The sequence below is a fragment of the Homo sapiens genome, chromosome 2 (genome assembly GCF_000001405.40).
Source record: "Homo sapiens chromosome 2, GRCh38.p14 Primary Assembly".
NCBI lineage: Eukaryota > Metazoa > Chordata > Mammalia > Primates > Hominidae > Homo > Homo sapiens.
The window spans coordinates 118854634-118876647 of NC_000002.12; the positions used below are offsets into that span (position 1 = coordinate 118854634).

The following is a 22014-nucleotide window of genomic DNA, read 5'->3' on the forward strand; positions in this document are numbered from 1 at the left end:
GCGCAGAGACCAAAAGCCCGCTCCACAAATGAGGCAACTGAGACCCGAAGAGAGTAAGGGACTAGGTAGGGATCCCACAGAGGCCGCCACTGGTCTCAGAGCTCGCCAAATCCCGCTGGGAAGCCGCGGGCGTCCCAGTTTTGTTCTGCAGCCTGAGTCCCAGATGAGAGCGCGGGGGATGACGGTCTCCTACCCCAGGCTTCCAACTCCACTCCATTCACCCCCAGGAAGGGTTCACCCCCTTCCCGGTGGGTGTCGGAGGTGGGAGGAAGGAGGGAAGGTGATCTCTTGGGGCTGGGAATGTAGTGGGGCTGAGGGCGAGAGGGAAGCACAACCCCTCCCCTTGTCGGATCCCACTTAGGGCTCCTAAGATTCCCACCTCTCCTCCACCCACCAGGGGGTTAGCAGCATCCTCTTCGCCCCCGCTACAACTGTCCAAGCGTGAATGGTAGTTAGGGGTAGGGGGCTCGGTAAAGGGAAGGCTGGGCTCACTTCCTGCGGGGGGACTGGGGGTAGGGATGGGGTAGGGGTGGAATACCGGCCACAAAGCCATTCCAGGCACGTCCCTCCCCTCCCGCGCCGATGACTCCCGCCCCAAAATTGTTATGCAAAGGAGTCAAGTATGTGATCTTCTGGCGATCAAAGCGGCAAAGCCAAATATTAGAGGAGCAGTCAATAATGGATGAGCAGATTAAGAAACCCATCTCGCGGACAATTATCGCCGCAATTGAAAAAGCTCACTTTTTCCCTTATTCTCCATCCCACCCCCATTTATAAAAGAAAAAAAAAATAGGCGGAAGGATGGGGGCTGGGGCTGGCAGCCGAGGAGGCTGCAGGGACGCGCATGGAAGAGCCGGTGCGTGGGAGGGTTTGCGGGGGGGACATCGCGCCCCCTAGGGGTGACCCCAGTGGGTCCCGTGTGCTCTCCGCGGAGCCGGCGGAGCCTTGTCCTCTGCACCCGGCGCGCAGCGGCCCCTTAAACAGTGGAACCGTGAGGCCGCTCTAAGCCGAAGGGCTGGAATCTGGGTTTCTCGGGTTTTATTTTAGACCATTCGGCACCAAGCCCGAGCTCCCCCGCCGCACCGCTTCCAGTCCCCTTTCTTTCCATAGAGCGACCCGAAGCCGGCGGTGGCGCAGGGAGCCGAGTCTGATGAGCTCGCGGGCGGCTGAAGGCCGGCTTCCCTGTGGGGAACGCGCCACCTGTCGGCGCCAGTGAGAACTGCGTCTGTGTGGCGCCCTCGGGGTATTCGGGGCTGCGGGGAGATGTGTGCCTGAAGCCCTGCGCTTGCGGTGGGGACGTCCGGCCTCTTTCCTGGCAATTGACCCCTGAGGCGGGAGAGACAACGGAATTCCCACAAAGGGATCCTTCTCGGGATCTCCCCACCTCAAGACAGCTAAAGCTGGAGGAAAAGCCCCTCCGGGGGGTGGGGGGTGCGGGTTTGCCCTGCGATTCCGAAAGCAGAAAATACCCGAGCCACACAGGGACGGGCGCCGCGTTGGTAGTCGGGGCTACGTTCCTACTCCCTCTACCTCCCCCGCGCTGTGTGACCCTGGGCGGAACCCCGCTGCTCTCTGGGCCTCAGTGTTCTTATTCGTAAACTGAGGGCGTTGGATGAGATTGGTCCTCTCCCAACTCTGACCTTGAAACTGATACTGAATCTGAGCAGCGTCTGTAGACACCTGTGCCTTGCCTTCTATTTCTAGCCTTGAATAAATCCTGGACTTTTATGTGCCATTTATATCCTAATCTCATATATATTTAATGTATAACTGCTGCCATTATTGTTTTCTCAATTGTCTAGGTTTTCATTTGGATGGGGTTAGGATGGTCCAAATTATCCCGATAAGTGCCCATTAACTTAAACCTTTTTAAAAAATGAAACCAGTAAAACTTCATTCACTTTGCAGTGTGGACACTGCTGGAGAGCACCCATGTCGTGGGTCCAGCGAGGACACAAGGAGGGGCTTAGAGACATGCGGGAGGCTTAGATGAGAAGACAGCACCCGGGCAGCGGTCAGTGTTAGAGAGAGGACCCGTAAGAAGGGCCGAGGCTAGAGGGAGAGCGAAGACTGAGCCAACGACGCACCTGAGCCCTGGGGTGGGGGTGGAGACGTGGCTCCTAACCCAAATCTCCCTGCCAGGCAGTGTCCGACGAGCATCGACGGCAGGCGTCGAGACCAGTGCAGGGTAGCTCAGACCTCAAGCCACGCTTGACCTTTCCATGAAATGAATAAAACTCGAAAGCCAGGGAAAGGGGACAGTACTTTGATCCGGAGATCGCTTATAACCTCTGCTTGGAGTTCCGAGTTCGTGCGGCTCAAGGGAGGCTACAGTCCAGCAAGCTCTGGGCTCCAAGCGTGGGGACGGCAGCCCCCAAGCTTGGCGCACCCCTCGGGAAGCCCCGGAACGGTCCTCGCCAGACATAGCCGGCTGTCCTGGTCCTTAGCTTCAGGCTGGCGGCGCAAGGCCAGAGCGGCTGCCTTCTAGGCACCTGGGTGGAGGTCTCGCATAGCATTCCCTGAGAAGCGAAACTGCCCTTGGGGCCGCAGCGAGCCTGCCACATCGAACTGGAGACCCTCTGCTTTCGGGATAGATGGGACGTTTCTGCTCTGTCCTTCTTGGAGTCCCGGAATCGTTCTGGGGCCGCGTGCTGCCTGGAGGCGGTGAATTTCAGGGTCTTGAGAAGCCGCGCACACACGGGATTCTGGGCGAGCGTCCCGTCTCTTAATTCCTATTAAGAGACGGGAAAATCGAGGGACTGGAGGTCCCATCATTGTCGCGTGAGCAGCCTCCTGAACACCAAGCGAGACCTGAGGGTTCCGCTGGGGCCTCGCCCTGACACCCGGGCCCTCCGTGTGGTCGAGAGTTTGCGCCCGCTCCCGCTAGGGCAGCGAGGTCCCACTTGCGGCCGGCTGGGGCATGGTGGCACCGGTTGTCTACTCCCCACTTGTGACACCGACAGCTTCCAACTCCTCAGACCCACCCCGTGGAATTCTGGACTTTGTGAGGGCCGCCGGGGTCCTGGCCCTGGGGTCAGCTGCCATCTGACTAAGCCAGGACGGCGGAGCTCCAGGCCTTGCTCCAGCACTGCCGGTGCGTCGGGGCCCGCGGAGAGCCCAGGGCGGGAGCTGTGGGCTGAGCCGGGTGGCCGCGTGGACACAGATGCCCGGCCGGACTGAGCGGCAGCCAAGACTCTCCGTCCATCCCGCCGCTGGACTCGACTCTCCCAGACCCGCCACGGAACCCAGATTTGAGCACGCAAGATAAAGACGCCAGAGGCGAGTGCGCGGCGGAGAACTGGCCGCGACACGGGAAGCTTCTGGGGCGCAGAACGCTGGCTCCGACTCGCGCGGCGCAGACCAGCTTCTGTGGTTGCACTCAATTGAACAACAGGCGGATTTACGTTAAACTTTGTTTTCACCTTTCACTAAGATGTTTCCAATTTACCAAGGGGATAGAATGAGAGACAGAGATGTGAGAGATACAGAGAGAGAGATAGAGAGTGCAGGGTCGGGGGAGGAGGCAGAGAGCGGAAGCGGTTCTCTTTAGGGGTCTCCACCTTCAAAAGACGACGGAACGATGGTAGCCAGCTCAGGATCTATCAGGTGCTAGCCCTGGGCTGCCTGGCTCTGAAGGCTTCACCTGGTGGGCTGGCTTGGGCATTCCTAATGGGCATGCCGGGAGCCTATCAAGGTATGAACCAGCATACTCTCCCTTTTACAAAGGAGGAAACTGAGGTCGGAGAGGCTAAACCCGCCCCAAGCGCATGCCCATACCAAGCGGGAAACGAAGCACCGAATATTTCCCCAGCTCGTAGGAAGCCAGATGGGGGCCAGTTCCCTCAGGAGACGCTCCAAGTCGCCCTGCGGGCTCCAGGTGGGGACAGGAGTTATAACCTTCCCTGCCCTTCCCCCTGCAACACACGCGAGGTCTCAGCGCTCCCAGGCGCTCCAGTGGGGCCGCGTTCCCCGCCAGGGTGGGTCAGGGGAATACTCTGCCTGCGCCCTCTCCGAGGGTCCGCGCAGAGCGAGCGCCTCTTTAGGTGGGGCCTCTGGCTCCGACCCCTGCTCCCAACAGGGATCTTCGTTTGCATCACCCAGAGGAGCTGGCCAGAGAGCCGCGCCGGAGGCCGCATCTCCCCTTGTTGGTATTGTTGTCGGCTTGCTTTCTTCTGGCTTCCCAGCTCAGTGACCCCGGAAAGGGTCGAGCATCCGACTCCGGCATGCTGGTTGGCTGCCCCCGGAGGCGGAGGTAGGGGGCCAGAAATGCTGACCTGGGCAGGCCCCCAGCCCTGAGCTCCTGGGGTGGACATCTCAGGGTCCCGGGCCTCCAAGCTCATGGCCGGTCTCCGCGGCGGCGGGGTGACCCACCAAGGGCAAGACTTTTTCAGACTTGCCTATGGTCACCAGGCAATGACTCCGACTGGTACGTGAGGGAGCTCGGGTCCCACCTTGAGGACAAGGCCCAGCCTTCCCCGGAGCCGCACCTCAACTGTCAGGGTGCAAGTGGTGGTGATCCGGGAGCAGTCGAGGCCCGTGACAAAACCAGGATGACCCAGCGTTTTCTAACCGCGCTGAGGCAGTCGCCTCTCCGGGTCGCTCCACTCCCGGACTCCGGCAGCCTGTTGGCCTTCCTGTCACCACCTCGCATGGAGCACCCTGCCCTAAGCCCTGGAACTGGGCCCCTGGCTCGCAAGGAAGAGGGTGGGGGTGGGGTAGGGAGGAAAGGCCGGGAAGCCTGCTAGAGAGAAGGAGGTGACTGAGGGCCAGCATCGCCAGGAGGCATAGTTCCACTAGTCCCCAGTCCCATGGTTCCACCTTGACCCCAGTTCACCTGCAGGGCGGCAGGGAACTCCTCTGATTCCCGAACCTGCAGCTGGTGCTGCACTGGAGGGGTTTCCGTTGGTCCAACGCACCCCGGTGAAGGGAATTCCCTGGAGAAGAGAGAGGAGGTGCCAGAACCTGGCTGTAAGGGGGGTGCAGGTGTGCAGAGAGAAGCGGGTTGTCCCGGGCTGTGGGTCCTGCAGCGCAGCACCTGAGACTTCAGTTTCCTTCCTTTTCCTTACTCCCGTAGTCTTCCGGGACCCTAGCTGCCTCGCGACCCCTCCCCTTCTTCTTCCCTGGGGTTTCTTCTTTAACCTAAAGAGCAGAATAAGTAGGCCTTGCAGCGAGAACATCTTAGGTAGGACTGGCAGCTTCTCATGCTCTGCCAGGGCTCTCAGGATAGGGGATAAGCCACCTCTTCACAGCCCAGCTCTCAAGCCCCTGTTGCCAGCAAGGAGCAGAGTCTGCTGACCTGCCCCTCTCCTCTATTTTACTGTAGTTTGTTTCCCTTCTCTGCTCTGAAGGGATACTCCTTTATTTTAACAGACCCAATTAGGATTTGCCAAATGCTAGATAAAACCTTCCTATCAGAAAATGCCTTAGGTTTCGGAATTACAACCCTGAGATTTTATAGGTAGCTTTAATGGAAAGGTTTGGAAAGAGACTGAGGGTGCCCTTAGTTCTGAATAAATGTGAACTGGAACTTGATATTTTTTTTGTCTTGTTTTTTTTTTTTTTTTTTTGGAGGGGGGAAGGTGTTTGGACCTTGAGCCAAAATACATCAAAGAAGAGATCCCTGCACCTCAACTCCTAGAAGTCATAGTCACCTTGATAGTGGAGAACTGGGGATTGAAGGTGCAGGATTTGCAGGAGTAGGGGAGATAATTAATATTAGCTGGGTCACCAGAAAGAATGGAAGCTAAGAGATTGTGCTGCCATGCCCTCTTCGACAGCAACCTTTAGCATTTATCTCTTCCCCGTCAGTCTCCCCAGCTATCAAGTGTGGACTCGACAGGAATGTTGCAAGGAAAAACTAATTAAATGGTAGTACAATGCTTTGAAAATATTAAGTGTCATGTAAATGCCTAATGCTAATAATAATCCTGATGTTGGTAATTATGTCCCAGGAAGCACATTCCAAGACAGCCCAGCACTGAGTCCATATGCACTGCCTGTCTAGGAGGAGCCTGGAAACACCCACCCATTCTGCCGTTCTGCCGCTGAGCCCCGTCTCTGCCTGGCCATGTGGAAGGTAGGAGCTGGGTCGTGTCCCCATCACCCGGCAGGCAGAGCAGGTTTAATCCTGGCTGGAAGTCCTTAAGCAAGTTACTGCAGCCCTTCACCTATAAAGTGGGAGTCATAATACCTGCAGCACAGGATGGTGGTGAGAATTAAATGACATCATGTGTGTAAAGCACTTAGGGAAAGTGGCAAATAGCTAAGTAGAAAGATCTGGTTAGGTGGTAGCAGCTCTTCCAGTTCAGTTTACCTAGCCCTAGCTGCATGACCAAGACAGGGGTTTCAAAGCCCATCCCGCTCTCATGTTGTTCAGCTCTGATCTGTATGTGGAATCCCAGACCCCTTTCTTATGCACACTTGGCTGGGGGCAGGGTGAAGATACTTCCAGCCCATTATTATCTGCACTCTCAGAAGGTCACTGTCCCATTGCTGGTCTGCCAAAGGGCTGAAGAACCAGTACCACCGACTTCAGGATTTGTTTAGGCCCTGAGCCTGTGACCCACCCAGGGTTTCTGCCCCTTCTCCCCGACTGCTTGCCCACTCCATTGAGAGGCAGTGTTCGACTGGGGGACCCAAAGGAGTCTTGGGGACTCCTTTGCCACCCTGACTGTGAACTATCTGGAGCATCCGTCCTGAGTGCAGTGAAGAAAGACTATAAAGAGTAAGCTCCCTGTCATCAGAGGCTGGAGGGGAAGCAGAGAGGATTGATGGCAGAGCAGGCAATCAAGCTCGGAAGAGGGCTTGGACAGGTTCGTCTGTGCCTCCCTGCCCCCAGGGCTTCCAGGGTGTGGTTGCTCCTCACATTGGGTCTGGCTGCCTCAGAGGCTCTGGCTGTCTCTGTGGTGTGTCCAGTGGCTTCAGCCATGTTCCCTCATTGTCTGACCTCTGTGAGTTCCGTGTCTTCTATGCTCCGTAGCTTGGCTAGGAAATCGCTATGTTTCCCTTAAGTGGGTTACCCCTTCACATTTAAAGAGAGGGATATAGTACAAGTCTGTGTTGAGGAATAACATATCCCTCACTCTCTTCTTTCTCTGAATTCCTGATGGGAGGAGTAAGGGGTTCAAGGATCTTCCCTTAACAATTTTTTAGTTTGGTGAAATACCAGGCCTTCCCCAGGACTTAAGAGTTTCCTTATAAGGCAATTTCTCCCCACCACCCATCCCTTCCCACCATCCTCTCCCCATAAAAAGTTTCCCTACTGTTGCTGGACTCCAGATTTGGGGCCCTGAGTTCTGCCAAAACTAGTGGAGGCTTTGAGGGCAACAAATTACAGTGACTCATGATTGAGGCTTTTGGGAATTTCCACCCCAGAAACCTCTGGGCCTTTTAGGGGTTTTAAAGAATCACCTAGATATTTTAATGACACTCCTCATCCTTGAACTTGTCCTAATTTTGTGTTTTAATGACTTAGAGAATAATAACAAACTCGAACTCCTTCAGCTACCTTTTGTTGTCTTTCCCAATTCGGTTCAAAGTTCAGCTTTTCCTTCTACGTGATGACACAGCCCTCCCCATTTGAGAAGAGCATAGCTTTAAAAAAAAAAGTTAGAAACGAAATGCTTTGTTTTGTTTGTCTTAGGCAACAATAACTCAAATACACCTTAATTTTGGAAGTAAAATATTTTTAATATTGTACAGAAACAGGTGGTTTCCCAGGTAATTATTTTTTAAAAAGGCACTCAAATAAGAATGCTATCAACAGTGGCAGTGTTGGGTTTTTGGGGTTTAGGCCAAGTGAGACTTCATGGTTGCACTCTGATCAGAGGTTTGTAGGGTCAGACACTGACAACACACACACAGACACACACACACACATACAAAATAGGCATGCACAGTTGAAAGGAATTTTGGAGTTTGCCATTTCACTCTCTCCTGTCCAAATACAGGCTTTGCTTTTCCTTTCTTCTTTACAGTGAGATGCCTGATTGTCACCGTGTCCAGCCTCTCATCTGCTTTCTGGTTGGGAAAGTCCTAGCACAGGGAGATAGGTGGCATATGCAAGCTCACACTGTCAGTCAGTGGCAGGCAGGGACTGACTTCTGGGCCAGTGGCCTTTCTGCCTGGTCATCTGCCTGCTGCTTCTTTGGATAAAAAGAAAAATCTACATGCAAATCCTGCAATTCAAAAATATGATTCTTCTCCCTCTGAAACCTTCTCAACTTCACAGGCGACCTTGCAGGTGTGTGGTTTCCATGCCACATTATACAGTTATAAACCCAGGACAATGGGCCAGTCAACAACCATGTCCCCTCCACACACATGAATGGGAGCTGATGTCTGAGAACTTTTAGGAAAAAGTGGGGAATTCATATGCACACATCACTTTGGTAACTTTCTAACAAGTTGGTTCTGCTGTTATTGTTGTTTTAGTCAGCTCCAGCCAAGATTCTTGCTGCATCATGAAACATTTGCTTCCAAATTGGGTAAGTCACCCAGTGAGACACACCTGATAGTGAAGATAAGATTTTAGCAACAACTCCTGCCTTTTTGCTTTCATGAAGTTGTGTTTCACTAGAAAGCATTGCCTTTCCTAGGAATTTCATAAATAATTGACATTTTTTAAAAAACATTTTGGTCCCTTTGGTTGGTGGGAAGGGAGTAAGGAGAGTGGGGCTGGGGAGATGGAGAGGGACCAGGGAGAGAAGCAAGGAGAGGCTGGAGCAGGAGGAGAGGAGCCTTCTTCTTCTTTTTTTTTTTTTTTTTCTTTTTGAGATGGAGTCTCTCTCTGTCACCCAGGCTGGAGTGCAGTGGCGCAATCCCAGCTCACTGCAACTTGCCTCTGCCTTCCGGGTTCAAGTGATTCTCCTGCCTCAGCCTCCAGAGTAGCTGGGATTGCAGGCGCACACCAACACGCTCGGCTAATTTTTGTATTTTTAGTAGTGACAGGGTTTCACCAAGTTGGCCAGGCTGGTCTTGAACTCCTGACCTCAGGTGATCCGCCCACCTCGGCCTCCCAAAGTGTTGGGATTACAGGTGTGAGCCACTGTGCTCACCCGAGAGGAGCCTTCTAACGGGGAGAACGGGCAGGCTTAAGCTGTCCTGTGCAGCCCTGAGCTGCATCAAATAAATCAGCTTTATTTGATGATTTTCAACATCAGGGGGCTCAGATGACTCCCAATCCTTATTAGGTATCTGTAGTTCCATGCTGGCTGCTGTTTTTTCCATGGACTGTGGGAACCCAAGAATTTGTGTAATAATTTTGGTTAATTCTCTTAAGAACACACTCTTACTTCGACAGGATGTTTAGGAAGTGAGGCTTCTATTCTGATGTAGAGAGCCTTTCTCTCCCTCCAAGGGCTGCCAAAATTACCCCTCCATGGGCTGCCAATCTCTCTCCCCCTACATTCAGCCTCTTCCACACTGCAGGCTCTTTGGCACTGGTGTGGGGTCTGGGAGCTGAAATGTTCATCATTTCTCCCAGATATTAGCATGTCATCAGGTCCCACAATAGCACAAGGGGCCGAGTTTATATCAGAAGTCCATAGAGTAAAATGGGTCCAAGGCCTGTAGAAACCACCAAACTGAAATCCTTCCTAAGCCTGCAGGGGCAAAGTGGAGACAATCCCAATTTCTGCCCAGCAGAAACCGCTCAAGCTTGTGTAGATGAGAGGCCCCCTCCCAGTGTGAGCAGGCTAACCCGGGTCCAGAGCGGCGGAAGGAATCAGCGCTCCAGGGCTCCGAGAGTCGGACGATTGGCCCCGGGGAAGCCAGTTTGCTGGGAGGCCTGGTGACCTTGGCTGCTGAGTACCCCTCCAAGCACAGTCAGGGAGGCTATCAGGCAAGTCTACAATGGGTCAAAGAAGCGGATCCTCTGTCCTCTTGGTCTGCGACTTTTCCCATGAAGGACAGACCTCGTAGCCTACATCCCTCCATAAATTCAGATCTACCCCGTGAGTAAAAAAGAGAGAGAAGGGTAAGTCCCATTTAGGGTTTAAAGGATATGAGACCTAAAAGGAGCAGATGGTAGAATTTCAGGCATTATCTAGCAGGTGGCAGAGAATCTGGGGGAGTCCAGGCTGTGTCAGCGCTGCCTGACAAATCATCCTTCCACTCAGAACAGATGCTCCTGGACGCTCATATCCTTGTACTGTATGGAGACTGCTTCTCAGAGCTGACTCCATGTGATGTGGCTTTGTGTCTGCTCCCCTGAGGATGGTGGCTCCTCACTATCTGGGGCTGTTGAGCACTTGAGATGTGGCTGGTCTGCATTGAGGTGTGTTGTCAGTGTAAAATGCACACCAGATTTCAAAGGCTTAGCAAGAAGAAAAAAAGATTACAAAGTATCTCATTCCCATTTGGAAAGGAGCTCTTTGCTCTAGAGAGGTCCTGCAGCCTTTCTTTTTTGCTGAGAAGAAAATTTTGCAGTGAGTGTCCTCTGAGCAGGTAGGCCTACCTGTCTCTTCTGAAACTATTTTGAGAACTTGCTCATTACTTTCCTTCTCTTGTTAGTCACATGCTCAGAAGCACCTCAGAATTTCAGTAAAATTTCATTTCCACTGGACAGGAACCAAAAGGCCGAGAGTAGGCTGGGAGCCCCTGCTGACAGGAACCAAAAGGCCCAGAGTAGGCTGGGAGCCCCTGCTGACTAATTTCTAAATACTGGTTTCTGGTGACATCGTATGGCCACTTCTTGATACTACACCGGTCACAGGCTGTGTGCAGGTCCTGAGTTCTGCAGTCCTGATGTCACCCACCTCTTGCTGAGTGGGCCAGTGCATCAGAAATCCTAAACTTGTAGAAGGCTGTCTTTCCAACCTCCATTTCTCCTCTCACTTCTCTCCATCTCATTTCAGTTCTTCCACATCTATAATATTGGGCCTGTCACCCTAAACCACTGGGGAAATGGCTGTGGACTGAGGGTTAGAAGAACCTTGAGTAGAACTGAGTAGTTTTAGGAAAACCATTCAACATCTCTGGGCTTCTCCTCCTCAAGGTTATAGCGGATGACCTCTAAAGTCACTTCTGGCTTCCCAAGTTCATAAATCTAATGGTGGAATTTGAGACACTGATGAAGAAGACTCAAATACTGCCTCATTGGTGGTGACCTACAAGAAAGGCCCAGTCTCGAGTCTAACTCGCAGTTCAGGAGGTGACCCAAACATGGAGCTGAAGTGGCCAAATGTGATTTCTTTCCTTTTTTTTAAATATTGGATCTGTGTCTCTGGAGACCAACCATGATTTCTTAGGAGATGATAATACTCATAAATGCAATTGTTGTCAATTGTTGCATATATTATCTCATTTAATTCTCACAACAATCCCATACATTAGGCATTATCACAATTAAAAATACCTAATATATTTAACACATACAAGAGATATCTATGTATGTGGATATATATGTATACCTACCAATGAATGTGTTTAAAATCAAACCATAAATACTTAGGAACTACTTTCAAGAACTAGAACAACAGTGATTCTATGTTTATGAAACTCCAATACAAGTAAAAGTAAACAATATGTAATAAAGGCTGTTTTTAAAGGCAATGAAGGCCAGGCATGGTGATTCACACCGGTAATCAAAGCACTTTGGGAGGCCAAGGTGGGTGGATCTTCTGTATATACGTGTCTTCCCTGTCCCATTCCCTTGCCTCTGCCCAAACTAATCACTATCCTAAATTTTATATCTTTGCCTTTGTTTTTTTGAGACAGGGTCTCACTCTGTCACTCAGGCTGGAGTGTAGTGGCAAGATCATGGCTCACCGCAGCCTTGACCTCCTGGGCTCAGGTGATCCTCCTGCCTCAGCCTCTGGAGTAGCTGGGACTACAGCCACACACCAACATTTCCAGCTAATTTTCGTGTTTTTTTTTTGTTTTTTTTTTTGTAGAGACGGGGTTTCACCATGTTGCGCAGACTGGTCTTGAACTCCCGGGCTCAAGCGATCTACCCACCTTGGCCTCCCAAAGTGCTGAGATTACAGTTGTGAGCCACCATGCCTGGTCTTCTTTGCCTTTTAAAAACTGGTTTTATTACATGTTGTTTAGTTTAACTTGTATTTGAGTTTCATAAAAAATGATATTCTATGGTCGATGGGACTAGATTTTTCACTAAGTATTACTTCTCCAAGATTCGTCACTGTTGCATGCATGTAACAGGGCTTGAGTCAGGTTATCAGCTGTATAAGAGTTCATTGCTGGAATAAATCTCATTTTATTTATCTATCCCCTTGTCAGTGGACATTTGGGTTGTTCCTAGCTCTTTACTTCTGTGAACATTCTTGTTTTTGTCTCTTGGTATACATGTGTAAAAATATCTCTAGAACACAGTAAAAAGATTGGTGGTTGCCAGGGGCTTGGAAAGTGGTGGTGAATAGGTGAAGCCCAGGGAATTTTTAGGGCAGTAAAACTATTCTGATATATATATATATACATACACACAACATATATATAAAATATATATATAACATTATATATAATATATAATATATTATTATATATAATATATATAACATTATATATAGTATATATGACATATATAACATATATTATATATAACATATATAAAATATAACATATTATATATAACATATATAAAATATAACATATATTATATATAACATATATAAAATATAACATATATTATATATAACATGTATAAAATATAACATATATTATATATAACATGTATAAAATATAACATATATTATATAACATGTATAAACTATAACATATATTATATATAAAATATATTATATGTTATATATTATAAATAAAATATATTATATGTTATATATTATAACATATTATATAAATAATATATAATATATAACATATATTATATAAATAATATATAACATATATTATATAAATAATATATAACATAACATATATTATATAACATATAACATATAACATATATTATATATAACATATAACATATAACATATATTATATATAACATATAACATATAACATATATTATATATAACATATAACATATATTATATTATATATAACATATAACATATATTATATTATATATAACATATAACATATATTATATTATATATAACATATAACATATATTATATTATATATAACATATAACATATATTATATTATATATAATATATAACATATATATTATATATAATATATAACATATAACATATATTATATATAATATAATATATAACATATATTATATATAATATAATATATAACATATATTATATATAATATAATATATAACATATATTATATATAATATAATATATAACATATATTATATATAATATAATATATAACATATATTATATATAATATAATATATAACATATATTATATATAATATAATATATAACATATATTATATATAATATAATATATAACATATATAATATATAACATATAGCATATATAATATATAACATATAACATATATTATATATAACATATAACATATATTATATATAACATATAACATATATAATATGTAACATTATATATAACATATATAATATGTAACATTATATATAACATATATAATATGTAACATTATATATAACATATGTTATATATTTCAGCCTCAAGGAAGAGGATACATCCCTACCCACTAAGTGTGGGCTGGGCTGTGCATGATGCGTTTGTTCCCTCCACGGAGTATAGGGGAAAGAGTCACTTTACAGTGTCAAAATCTGACACATACTACCTCAGCTGGGTGATCAAGGTCAGTAGCAACAGTGATAAATCATGTTAGTACATGTCTTTCATATAATGATAAAAATGGCATTTTACCTCAGTGGTCTTCCTCCCCAAAGTCCATAACCCCAGTCTAATCATGAGAAACACATCAAATAGATTCCACAGAGAGACATTCTACAAAACACCTGACCAGTACTGCTCAACTGTCAGGGTCATCAGAAACAGGGGAAGTTTGAGAAACTCTCACAGCCAAGAGAAGCTTAAGGAAATATGTCAAGTAAATGGATGGGATCTTGGAGCAGAAGACTTTAGATAAAAGCTAAGAAAATGTGAATGAACTATGGACTTTAGTTAATCATGTAGCAATATGTAACAAGGGTACCATGCTAAGGTCAATGACAGAGAAAACTGGGTGAGAGAGTCTATGGGAATTCTCTACTGTCTTCTCAATTTCCCTATGAGTTTAAAACTGTTCTAAAAATAAAGCCTGTTAAAATGGTATGGGTTCTAGAAAGTTATAGGTAAAAAGAAAATGATACCTTAAAACTGTCTCTAGATCAGGGTTGGCAAACTTTGTTTGCAAAATATCAGCTAGTAAATATTGTAGGCTTTGAAGCCTTAAGGTGTCTGTTGCGACTACTCAACTCTGCTGTTGTGTGTTACAAGAGCAGCCATATCTTAACAAGTAAGTGTGGCTGACTTCCAATAAAACTTTATTTAGCAAAAACAAAGTCCACAGGCCTCAGTTTGCAAACCCCTGCTCTCATGTATATAAATGAAGTCAAAGTGCTAGGTCACAAATTTCCATCACATTGTGGTGGAAAGCATCAAGTTGTATTGCATCAAATACACATTCATCAGAAACAGCAGAAATGGATTAACATTGAAGTCCATGTCTTGCCCAGAACTTAGCGTTTTTACTACAATTGTGTCTCACTGGGTTATTTTTTACTTCCTTCTTCTGAGAAATGCCTATTTGCAGCTTTTGCTCATTTTCTGCTGGGCTGTCCTTTTTTCTAATGCATTGGCAGGAGTTCTTTATGTATTCTGGATAGTAATCTACCAGCTACAGATGTTGCGTATATTTTCTCCTGGTCTATGGCCTGCCTTTCACTTTTCTTTTGGTGTCTTTTGATGAACAGAGTTAATTTTAATGTCGTCTGGTTTATTAATGTTTCCTTATTGTAGTTAGTGCTTTTTCTCTCTTGTGTTTAAGAAATCATCTCAAACTCAAAGTCAGAAAGATACTCTTCTATATTTTCTTTGAACAGTTTTGAAGTCTTGCCTTTCACCTGTAAATCCTCCGTGTACCTGAGATTTACTGAAAAGTACAGAATATATGGAGGAGGAAGGGATTCGATGTTATGTTTTTCTACGTGGATGCCCAGTAGTCCCATCCCTGTTGCCTCCTCCCATGTTGGTCTGGAGTGCCATCTGCCATGTCACTGAGAGGATTACATTATATAATGCAGGAAATGTGCTTGGCCTAGCCCCCAGCTTCAATTTAGTGAGACTGTGACTCTGAATTCCCCTTCCTTTCCAGGCTCTAGGGGAGCTGGGGCTCACAATCTTCTGCTTTCAATAATGCTTTTCCTAAACATGAAGACCATAATGTAACGAGGGCTTCTGGCTACAGCAAGCTTGCACATCCACCAGTGAACCAGGGTAACAGGACAGCAGCAGAAGGGGTCCTCACCCTCTGAGCACTGCAAAATGAACAGCTCGGCACTCCTCCTGCAGCTCAAACATTTGCTAAAGCACTTTTAAACAGGTCCTCAGTCAAGGACACTGGGAGATGGCAATTAAGTCTTCTTGAGACTCCAGGGGCCCTGGTGGCAGTGGCTGGGAAATCTGACCTGGTGAACAGATAAGAAATGCTTATAATTAGCACATTCAATGTGAAATACATGTGATTGCACAGATTGTAATTTTCCAAACTGTCAAGACAATTCTCCAACAACTCTTCACTCATAAGGAGGCTCAGCATGGCCATTGTATATGCTACTAATTTCCTTGTTTTCATAGAGAGCAGATAGAAACCCCAACTCACCTTGTCTATATGTCCGTCAAATCTAAATTCAAGGAATTGAAATGAATACGGACTTAATCTTACAGATATGTCTTAGATCATTTTCTTATTGAGGTAAAACTTACATTCAATAAAATTTTACAGATCTGAAGTGTCCAGCTTATGAAACTTTTCCGTATATGTACACCTGTATTATTGCCACCTAGATCTGCATATTTAACATTTCCAGCCTCCAGAAAGCTCTCTCATGCCCTTCCTGGTCATGTCTCCCTGCAGAGGTAGCCATTAGTCTGATTTCCATCATGCAGATTAGTTTTGCTTGTATCTGAAGTTCCCGTAAATGGAAGCTTTATCATGTGTACTCTTTTGCATATGGCTTCTTTAGCTCAACATTCTGCCTGAGATTCATCTGGGAGCTTTATGTAGCTAGAGTTTGCTTTTTCAATAGTAAAATGATGAATATGTGATGACACATTGTATGATCCGCCACAATTCATTTTACTATTGATGGACATTTTGGTTGTTTCCAGGTTGGGGCCATTATAAATAAGGCTGCTATGAACTTCAGTGAATATGTGTTTTGGTGCACATGTGTGCTCCTGTATGTTGAGTATAAACCTAGGAGCTGAATCTCTAGATTATGATAGGCATTGGATTTTCTTTCTTCTTTGTTTTGAAAAAAAAAGCAGCTTAATTAAGGTATAATTTATATATAAGAAATCAACCAATTTTAACTTTATAATTTTTGACAAATGTATTCAGTGTCTAAGCATGATGATCATCAAGATAGAGAACTGTTCCATCCCATCCCAAAATTCCTTTGTGCTTCTTTGCAATCACTTTCCCCTTCCCTCAGCCCCTCACAACCTCTGATTTAATTTCTTTCGGTACAGTTTTGCCTTTTCTTGTGCCCAGTTGATGATGAGTCACTCCTGAATCTCTACTGCCAGTTTTGATCTCTCTCCTGAGCTACAAACTTTCATCTCCACCTGCCTCCTAAGTGTCCCCAATGGAGAACTCTAAATGAATGAACCCTAGTGGAACCCAACACCTCTTCCTCCTCCTCCAGCAAAGTTTCCCTCCCTGTGTTCTCTGTCTCCTGAGAGAATCACTCTTAATCCTGGTGGCCAAGCCAGAAAGCTGGTTAGCACTTAATATCGACCTCCTTCCTCTCCCTACCACCCATATCCAATCAATGAGCCCTAGTCAATGCTCTCTAAATATCTCTTGGATCAACCTACTTCTTTCCAGCTCCTCTGTATTAGTTTACCATCGTCTCTGAATTGCCTCAATGTGTCTGACTTTTTGCTTCTTAGCATGAACCCCCACAGTCCATTCTCCACACTAGAGAGGAGCCCTTCTAAAGTGTGAACCTGACCAGGCCACTCTTTAGCATGAAACTTTTCAAGAGCCTCCTGGGACTTGTGGTCACACAGCTGCCTTCACACGAGGCCTCTTCCCTACCTTCATCCCAGCCCCAAACCTGCCTCTGCTGAGCTCTTGAATGTCCTCATGTCCCAGTGAAGAAGTCACTGCTGTGTAAGCTCGGCCTCAACCTGAACAGCAAGTGCAGGTCAAGTCTGACCTGGGCCCCCCCTTTCGTTGTTCCCCTAGCACTTCTTTCTTCACCTCTTCCAGCACTGAATGCAATCACTCTGTCTGTAATTCCATTTATTTTCTGTGTCCTCTTCAACTGAAAGCCATGTGAAGACAGAGTCCATGTCTGTCTAGTTCACTGTCATGCCTGGAAACAAATATTTGCTGAAAAATAAAGAATACTGGTACATAACCTATTCTATTCATTCAGTATATCTATCATCAAATACTTTAAAGGAAATCTATAATTTTTTTGAGAAAATTTTTGCAATCTATGCATCTAACATTTTTCATTATAAAGAAAACAAGATAAGTTAAAAAGCAAATGTCCAACTGGGAGAAAATGTTTCTAAATATATCACTTATAAAGGACTAGTATTTCTAATACATGTAGAACTCTTTTTTAAAAAAATTTTATTATTATTATACTTTAAGTTTTAGGGTACATGTGCACAATGTGCATGTTTGTTACATATGTATACATGTGCCATGTTGGTGTGCTGCACCCATTAACTCGTCATTTAGCATTAGGTATATGGAAATCTATAATTTTAAAGGAAATCTATTATATTACTGCATAAATGTACAATCATTTATTTAAGTAATTGTCAGGCATTAAGATAGCTATCTTTTTTTCTGATTATATCTATTATTATAGTGGGTATCTTTGCACACAGTTCTCAATACACAATCATTATTTAGGGGACTAAAATTTCTAAAAATGAAAATGGTAGGTCAAAATGTATGCATATACATTGGGAACTCCTAGGCCAGTATTTTTCAAACAGATCTTAACTCTTTGGTAGGTTATAAAATGCACCCTGTCCCCAGCTGAGGCTTGCCTCCGTTTGGCGAGTGAGAACATGCACAGAAGCTATTCCTTTCCGTGTATTTAAGTCAATACGTGTGCCCCTTAATATTTTGCAGCAGGGAGGTTCAATTGAAGTAAAAAAGCTAATAAATAAGGCCATAAATGAATCCACCAATTGGTAAGCAGATATAAACATATGGGAAAGCGCCCGGATTCTGGACTTCACATGAGCTATTTTTTTCCCATTAAGATTTTTTAAAAAAAAGATTGGAATTGAAGTTTGTTTGATGAAGGCACAATCCCCCAGTGGGTGTTTCCTTGTCCCTTGGAGTCAGGAAATATCACTCATCTTAGGTGGGTCCTTTGATGTCAACTTCCTGAAATTAATTCTCAGAGCTATTTATGACAATATAAACCAATTACGGCAATATAAATCTTCAGGTTCTTGGAACCCAAAATGGTAAACGTTCCCTGAATTGGATAGAGGCTGACCATGTCAGAAAACCTTGGAAGAAAGTTTGAAGTAGAATGGGGGGACTGTTGGAGCACCACACATATCATAAAGGAATCTGGCACTGGGTCCTTGCTGTCTGCCTGCTAGCTGTGAGAGGCGTGTTTCTCAGTGAGCCTCTGTTCCAAAATTCATAAAATAGAGCTATAAAGGCCTCCTTATAGATCTTGCCTTTTCATTCAGAGTATCAAAATGAGGCACAGTATGGAGAAGGGCTTTGTAACCATGAAGTTATCTACAAAGGCTTGGTGATGTTACTTGGATTAACCAGCCCTTGGGTCGACTTTTCAAAACAGGAGGGAAGGCTAGGGGAGGATCAGGTTCCTAGGGTGTTTTTGGTTGTATCCTAAAATCCCTTGTTCTCTTGGATACAGTATAAGCACTGTTAACATTCAACATTGCTCCTGTGGTTTCTGTGTTACAAACAGCAACAGAAGGTAGCAAGTCCAGTAGCCAAGCCCCCCAGCACAGAGAGAGTATGAACTTCAGACTCAGCAGACCCAGGTTTGAATCTCAGCTTCATCACCGGTTAACTGCTCTCTGAGTGCATCTATGAATTGGGGATAATGACACCTTATTGGGAGGGCCATATGAATGATACAATGCAATAGTTGTGTGAACGTAGTGTCTGCTTGTGAAGTCATAATCCTTGCTAAGGCAGTGCTGATCTTCCAAGGTTGGCGATGACAGAGAAAATCCGTGCAGAGCTGAGGAGGCTGAGCCTGCCATTTTCCACTTCCTGTGTCTCTGAGATGCTCTTCTCTTTGATCGCATGTTCTGGACTTCAGTGTGCAAATGTGCTTTGGTAACTCAATTAAAAAGTCAGTCCCTGGACTGCATCCCCAGTGATTGAAATGCACCTATGATACCAACTGCCTCCCCTGGTGTCTTCCCCTGACCTAAGGTCAGTATTGATGCCTCCAGGACACCGGCTGTCCTTTGAGGTTCTGGCCACAGCATGGACTCTGCCTTCCCCTCGTAGTTCCCATATCCATGGCTCAAGGATAAAGGAAAGGACTTAGGTAGAGGGACATGGAGTTTACCCATCCAGCCAAAGCCAAGAGACCCCCTTCAGGCCCCTTCCACCTAACTCTGTGTCTGTGTAGCCCCTCCCCCACACCCCAAGCTTAAAGCCAGGAAGGAGCAACCCTCAGCCACGCAGAAAGAAGGGAGACAGCGCCTTCTTTCCCAGTCTCAGATCCTGGCCTTTCACTCCAGAGGGGCTGCACCAAGGCTGCAGATAGCCCTTGCCTGCCTCAGGGGCAACTTCTCCGTGAAGTAGGACTCTGGACTTTGACAGTCCTTCCAGGCATCTCCTCACTCAGGCCTTCCCTGGGCAACCATGTCTGCAGGGACAGCTCCAGAATTCTCACACTGAGGAAATTGGGGTGGCAATAAGGGGCTGAGGTCTAACAAAATGCTGTTTTTACTTAAACTGCATGTTATGTATAGATAGATAAAAATGCAGTTTCCTAGAGGTATTTTTATTCCCACTTGAATAAGATTGAGAAAATATTGTAGAGCTGAAACAATATTATTAGTGCTATAACTGTTACTGTACTTATTTCTTTACTACAATCTCTTATTTATGATCATGGATGCAAAAGGCTCAGAAAATCATGTTTTTGCCCAACCTGTTTGGTGGTAAAACCTTTCCTAAATGGGTGCGAAACCATTTATCATCTTTATCTCTCTGGCTTGGTTTGAACACTCATCCATCCTGTTTGCTTGGTTATGGGCTGCTGCTCAAGATCCCTTGGGGATGTCAGGAACCATTCAGTTTTTATACTATCTTACTTTCGTCAAAACCCTAAAATTCTGAATTTTCAAATGCTTCTGGCTTGCAGAGTTTTGGCTGAGGGGTCATGCACTTTATTATATTAATGCTCATTGTTGTTGCTGCTGTTTAAGAGTGGCAAGGGTGAGCTGGGACTAAAGGGTCCCCCAGACACCCACCAACCCTCCAACTGCTCCTCAGACATCACTGCTGCCAACTTCTGGTTGGACTTCATCAGCTCCATCTCAGGCCAGATCATCGCCATGGCTCAAAGCTGTGACCAGGAAAAACTCCCCACACAGAGGCCTCTAAAACTGTGCTTGCTTTCCTGGCCCAAAGGCAGGTGGTGGCTTTTCCCATTGGGCTTCAGGGTGTACTGTGGCTCTGAGCCCCAGGCAGGACCAAGGAGGACGCCAAGGTAGCTGTCAATGCCAGCAGTAATGAATCACTGGGAATCAGATAACAAGGCTATTACCTCCGGCACCTTCGTCAAAGGCACTCTCAGCCAGGACTCATGAATCTGCCATGCTTGTCAGCCCTCCCCACACCCCAGCCCTGTCCCACCCCTTCCCAGTCCCCAAATGTCAATCAATCTGAGAAGGGAAGGGGAGAGCCAGAGTCTCTGTCTGAGGAGTCCTTGGCACAGAAGCAGGGGCTGCTGTGACCCAGCAGACACCAGTGGCTCAGAGAGGGCTGGACCCCAGAAGGACATGACTGTGTGTCCATCTTATTCTCTGCTGTGTCCCAGGGCCCCAGCACAGCACTAGCACTTAGTAGCAACTCAAGGATTATTTGCTGAATGAATTCATAAACCCAAGTAACATTCACTTAACTGGCCAGACAACAGTAGGTAAAATGATCAGAATCACCAGTGGGCCCATAGTAGCTGTGGGAGATTTACTGTAGTGCCTACTGTATGCAGAGCCCTACTAAGTGCTACATGCCATGCCCCGTATAGTTTAGACCTTAACACACTACGTGAAGGAGAGATTTTTACCCTCATTTTATAGGCAATGAGTTGAGGCACATTGAAGGAAAAACCCTTTATTGAGGTCCCCTGGACCACCGTGGATCCAGACTTTAAATCTGACTTCCATCCTGCTCCGCTGCCCATGAACAACCCATTTGTCAACTTTACCCCACCACGGGGCTAGGCCAGGCTCCGCCACCATTCTTCATGTTCTGAGTAGAAACAACTGCTAGGACCTCAAAAAGAGACACCAAGAGCTTTCTCCTGGTGCAAGAAACCAAGAAGTGAGGACGGAGGAGATGATAGAGAAGGGGAAATGGTGGTGGTGGCGGGGGTGGGGAGTTCCCACTCCATAGTTTGTCCTGCCTCCCAAGTCCCTTTCCTCCCTCCCCGATCATCTGAAGCACAGCTTCTCTGCAAGCTCAGGGATTTCTCTTACCTCCATCTCCCCTGACCCAGCCCTGCCACCTGCCCGCTATGTCTGTGGTCCAGTAGTCCACTCAGATAGGCATCATTCCCTTACAAAGCTATGAAAACTCAATCCTCACCCTTGTTTTTTGTTAAATCACAAGAAACCCACATTTGCGACTTACTCATCCCCTCCTGTGAG

The 22014-nt window shown here is 46.0% G+C and overlaps 3 annotated features.

The window, feature by feature from the left end:
* Window positions 2794–3555: an enhancer, noted in NCBI's record as "H3K27ac-H3K4me1 hESC enhancer chr2:119615003-119615764 (GRCh37/hg19 assembly coordinates)". NCBI's record gives its function as "activates a minimal SCP1, AML or CMV promoter by ChIP-STARR-seq in primed H9 embryonic stem cells {active_cell/tissue: H9 hESC(primed)}" and the evidence as "EXISTENCE:reporter gene assay evidence [ECO:0000049][PMID:30033119]".
* Window positions 3556–4317: an enhancer, noted in NCBI's record as "H3K27ac-H3K4me1 hESC enhancer chr2:119615765-119616526 (GRCh37/hg19 assembly coordinates)". NCBI's record gives its function as "activates a minimal SCP1, AML or CMV promoter by ChIP-STARR-seq in naive H9 embryonic stem cells {active_cell/tissue: H9 hESC(naive)}" and the evidence as "EXISTENCE:reporter gene assay evidence [ECO:0000049][PMID:30033119]".
* Window positions 4318–5077: an enhancer, noted in NCBI's record as "H3K4me1 hESC enhancer chr2:119616527-119617286 (GRCh37/hg19 assembly coordinates)". NCBI's record gives its function as "activates a minimal SCP1, AML or CMV promoter by ChIP-STARR-seq in naive H9 embryonic stem cells {active_cell/tissue: H9 hESC(naive)}" and the evidence as "EXISTENCE:reporter gene assay evidence [ECO:0000049][PMID:30033119]".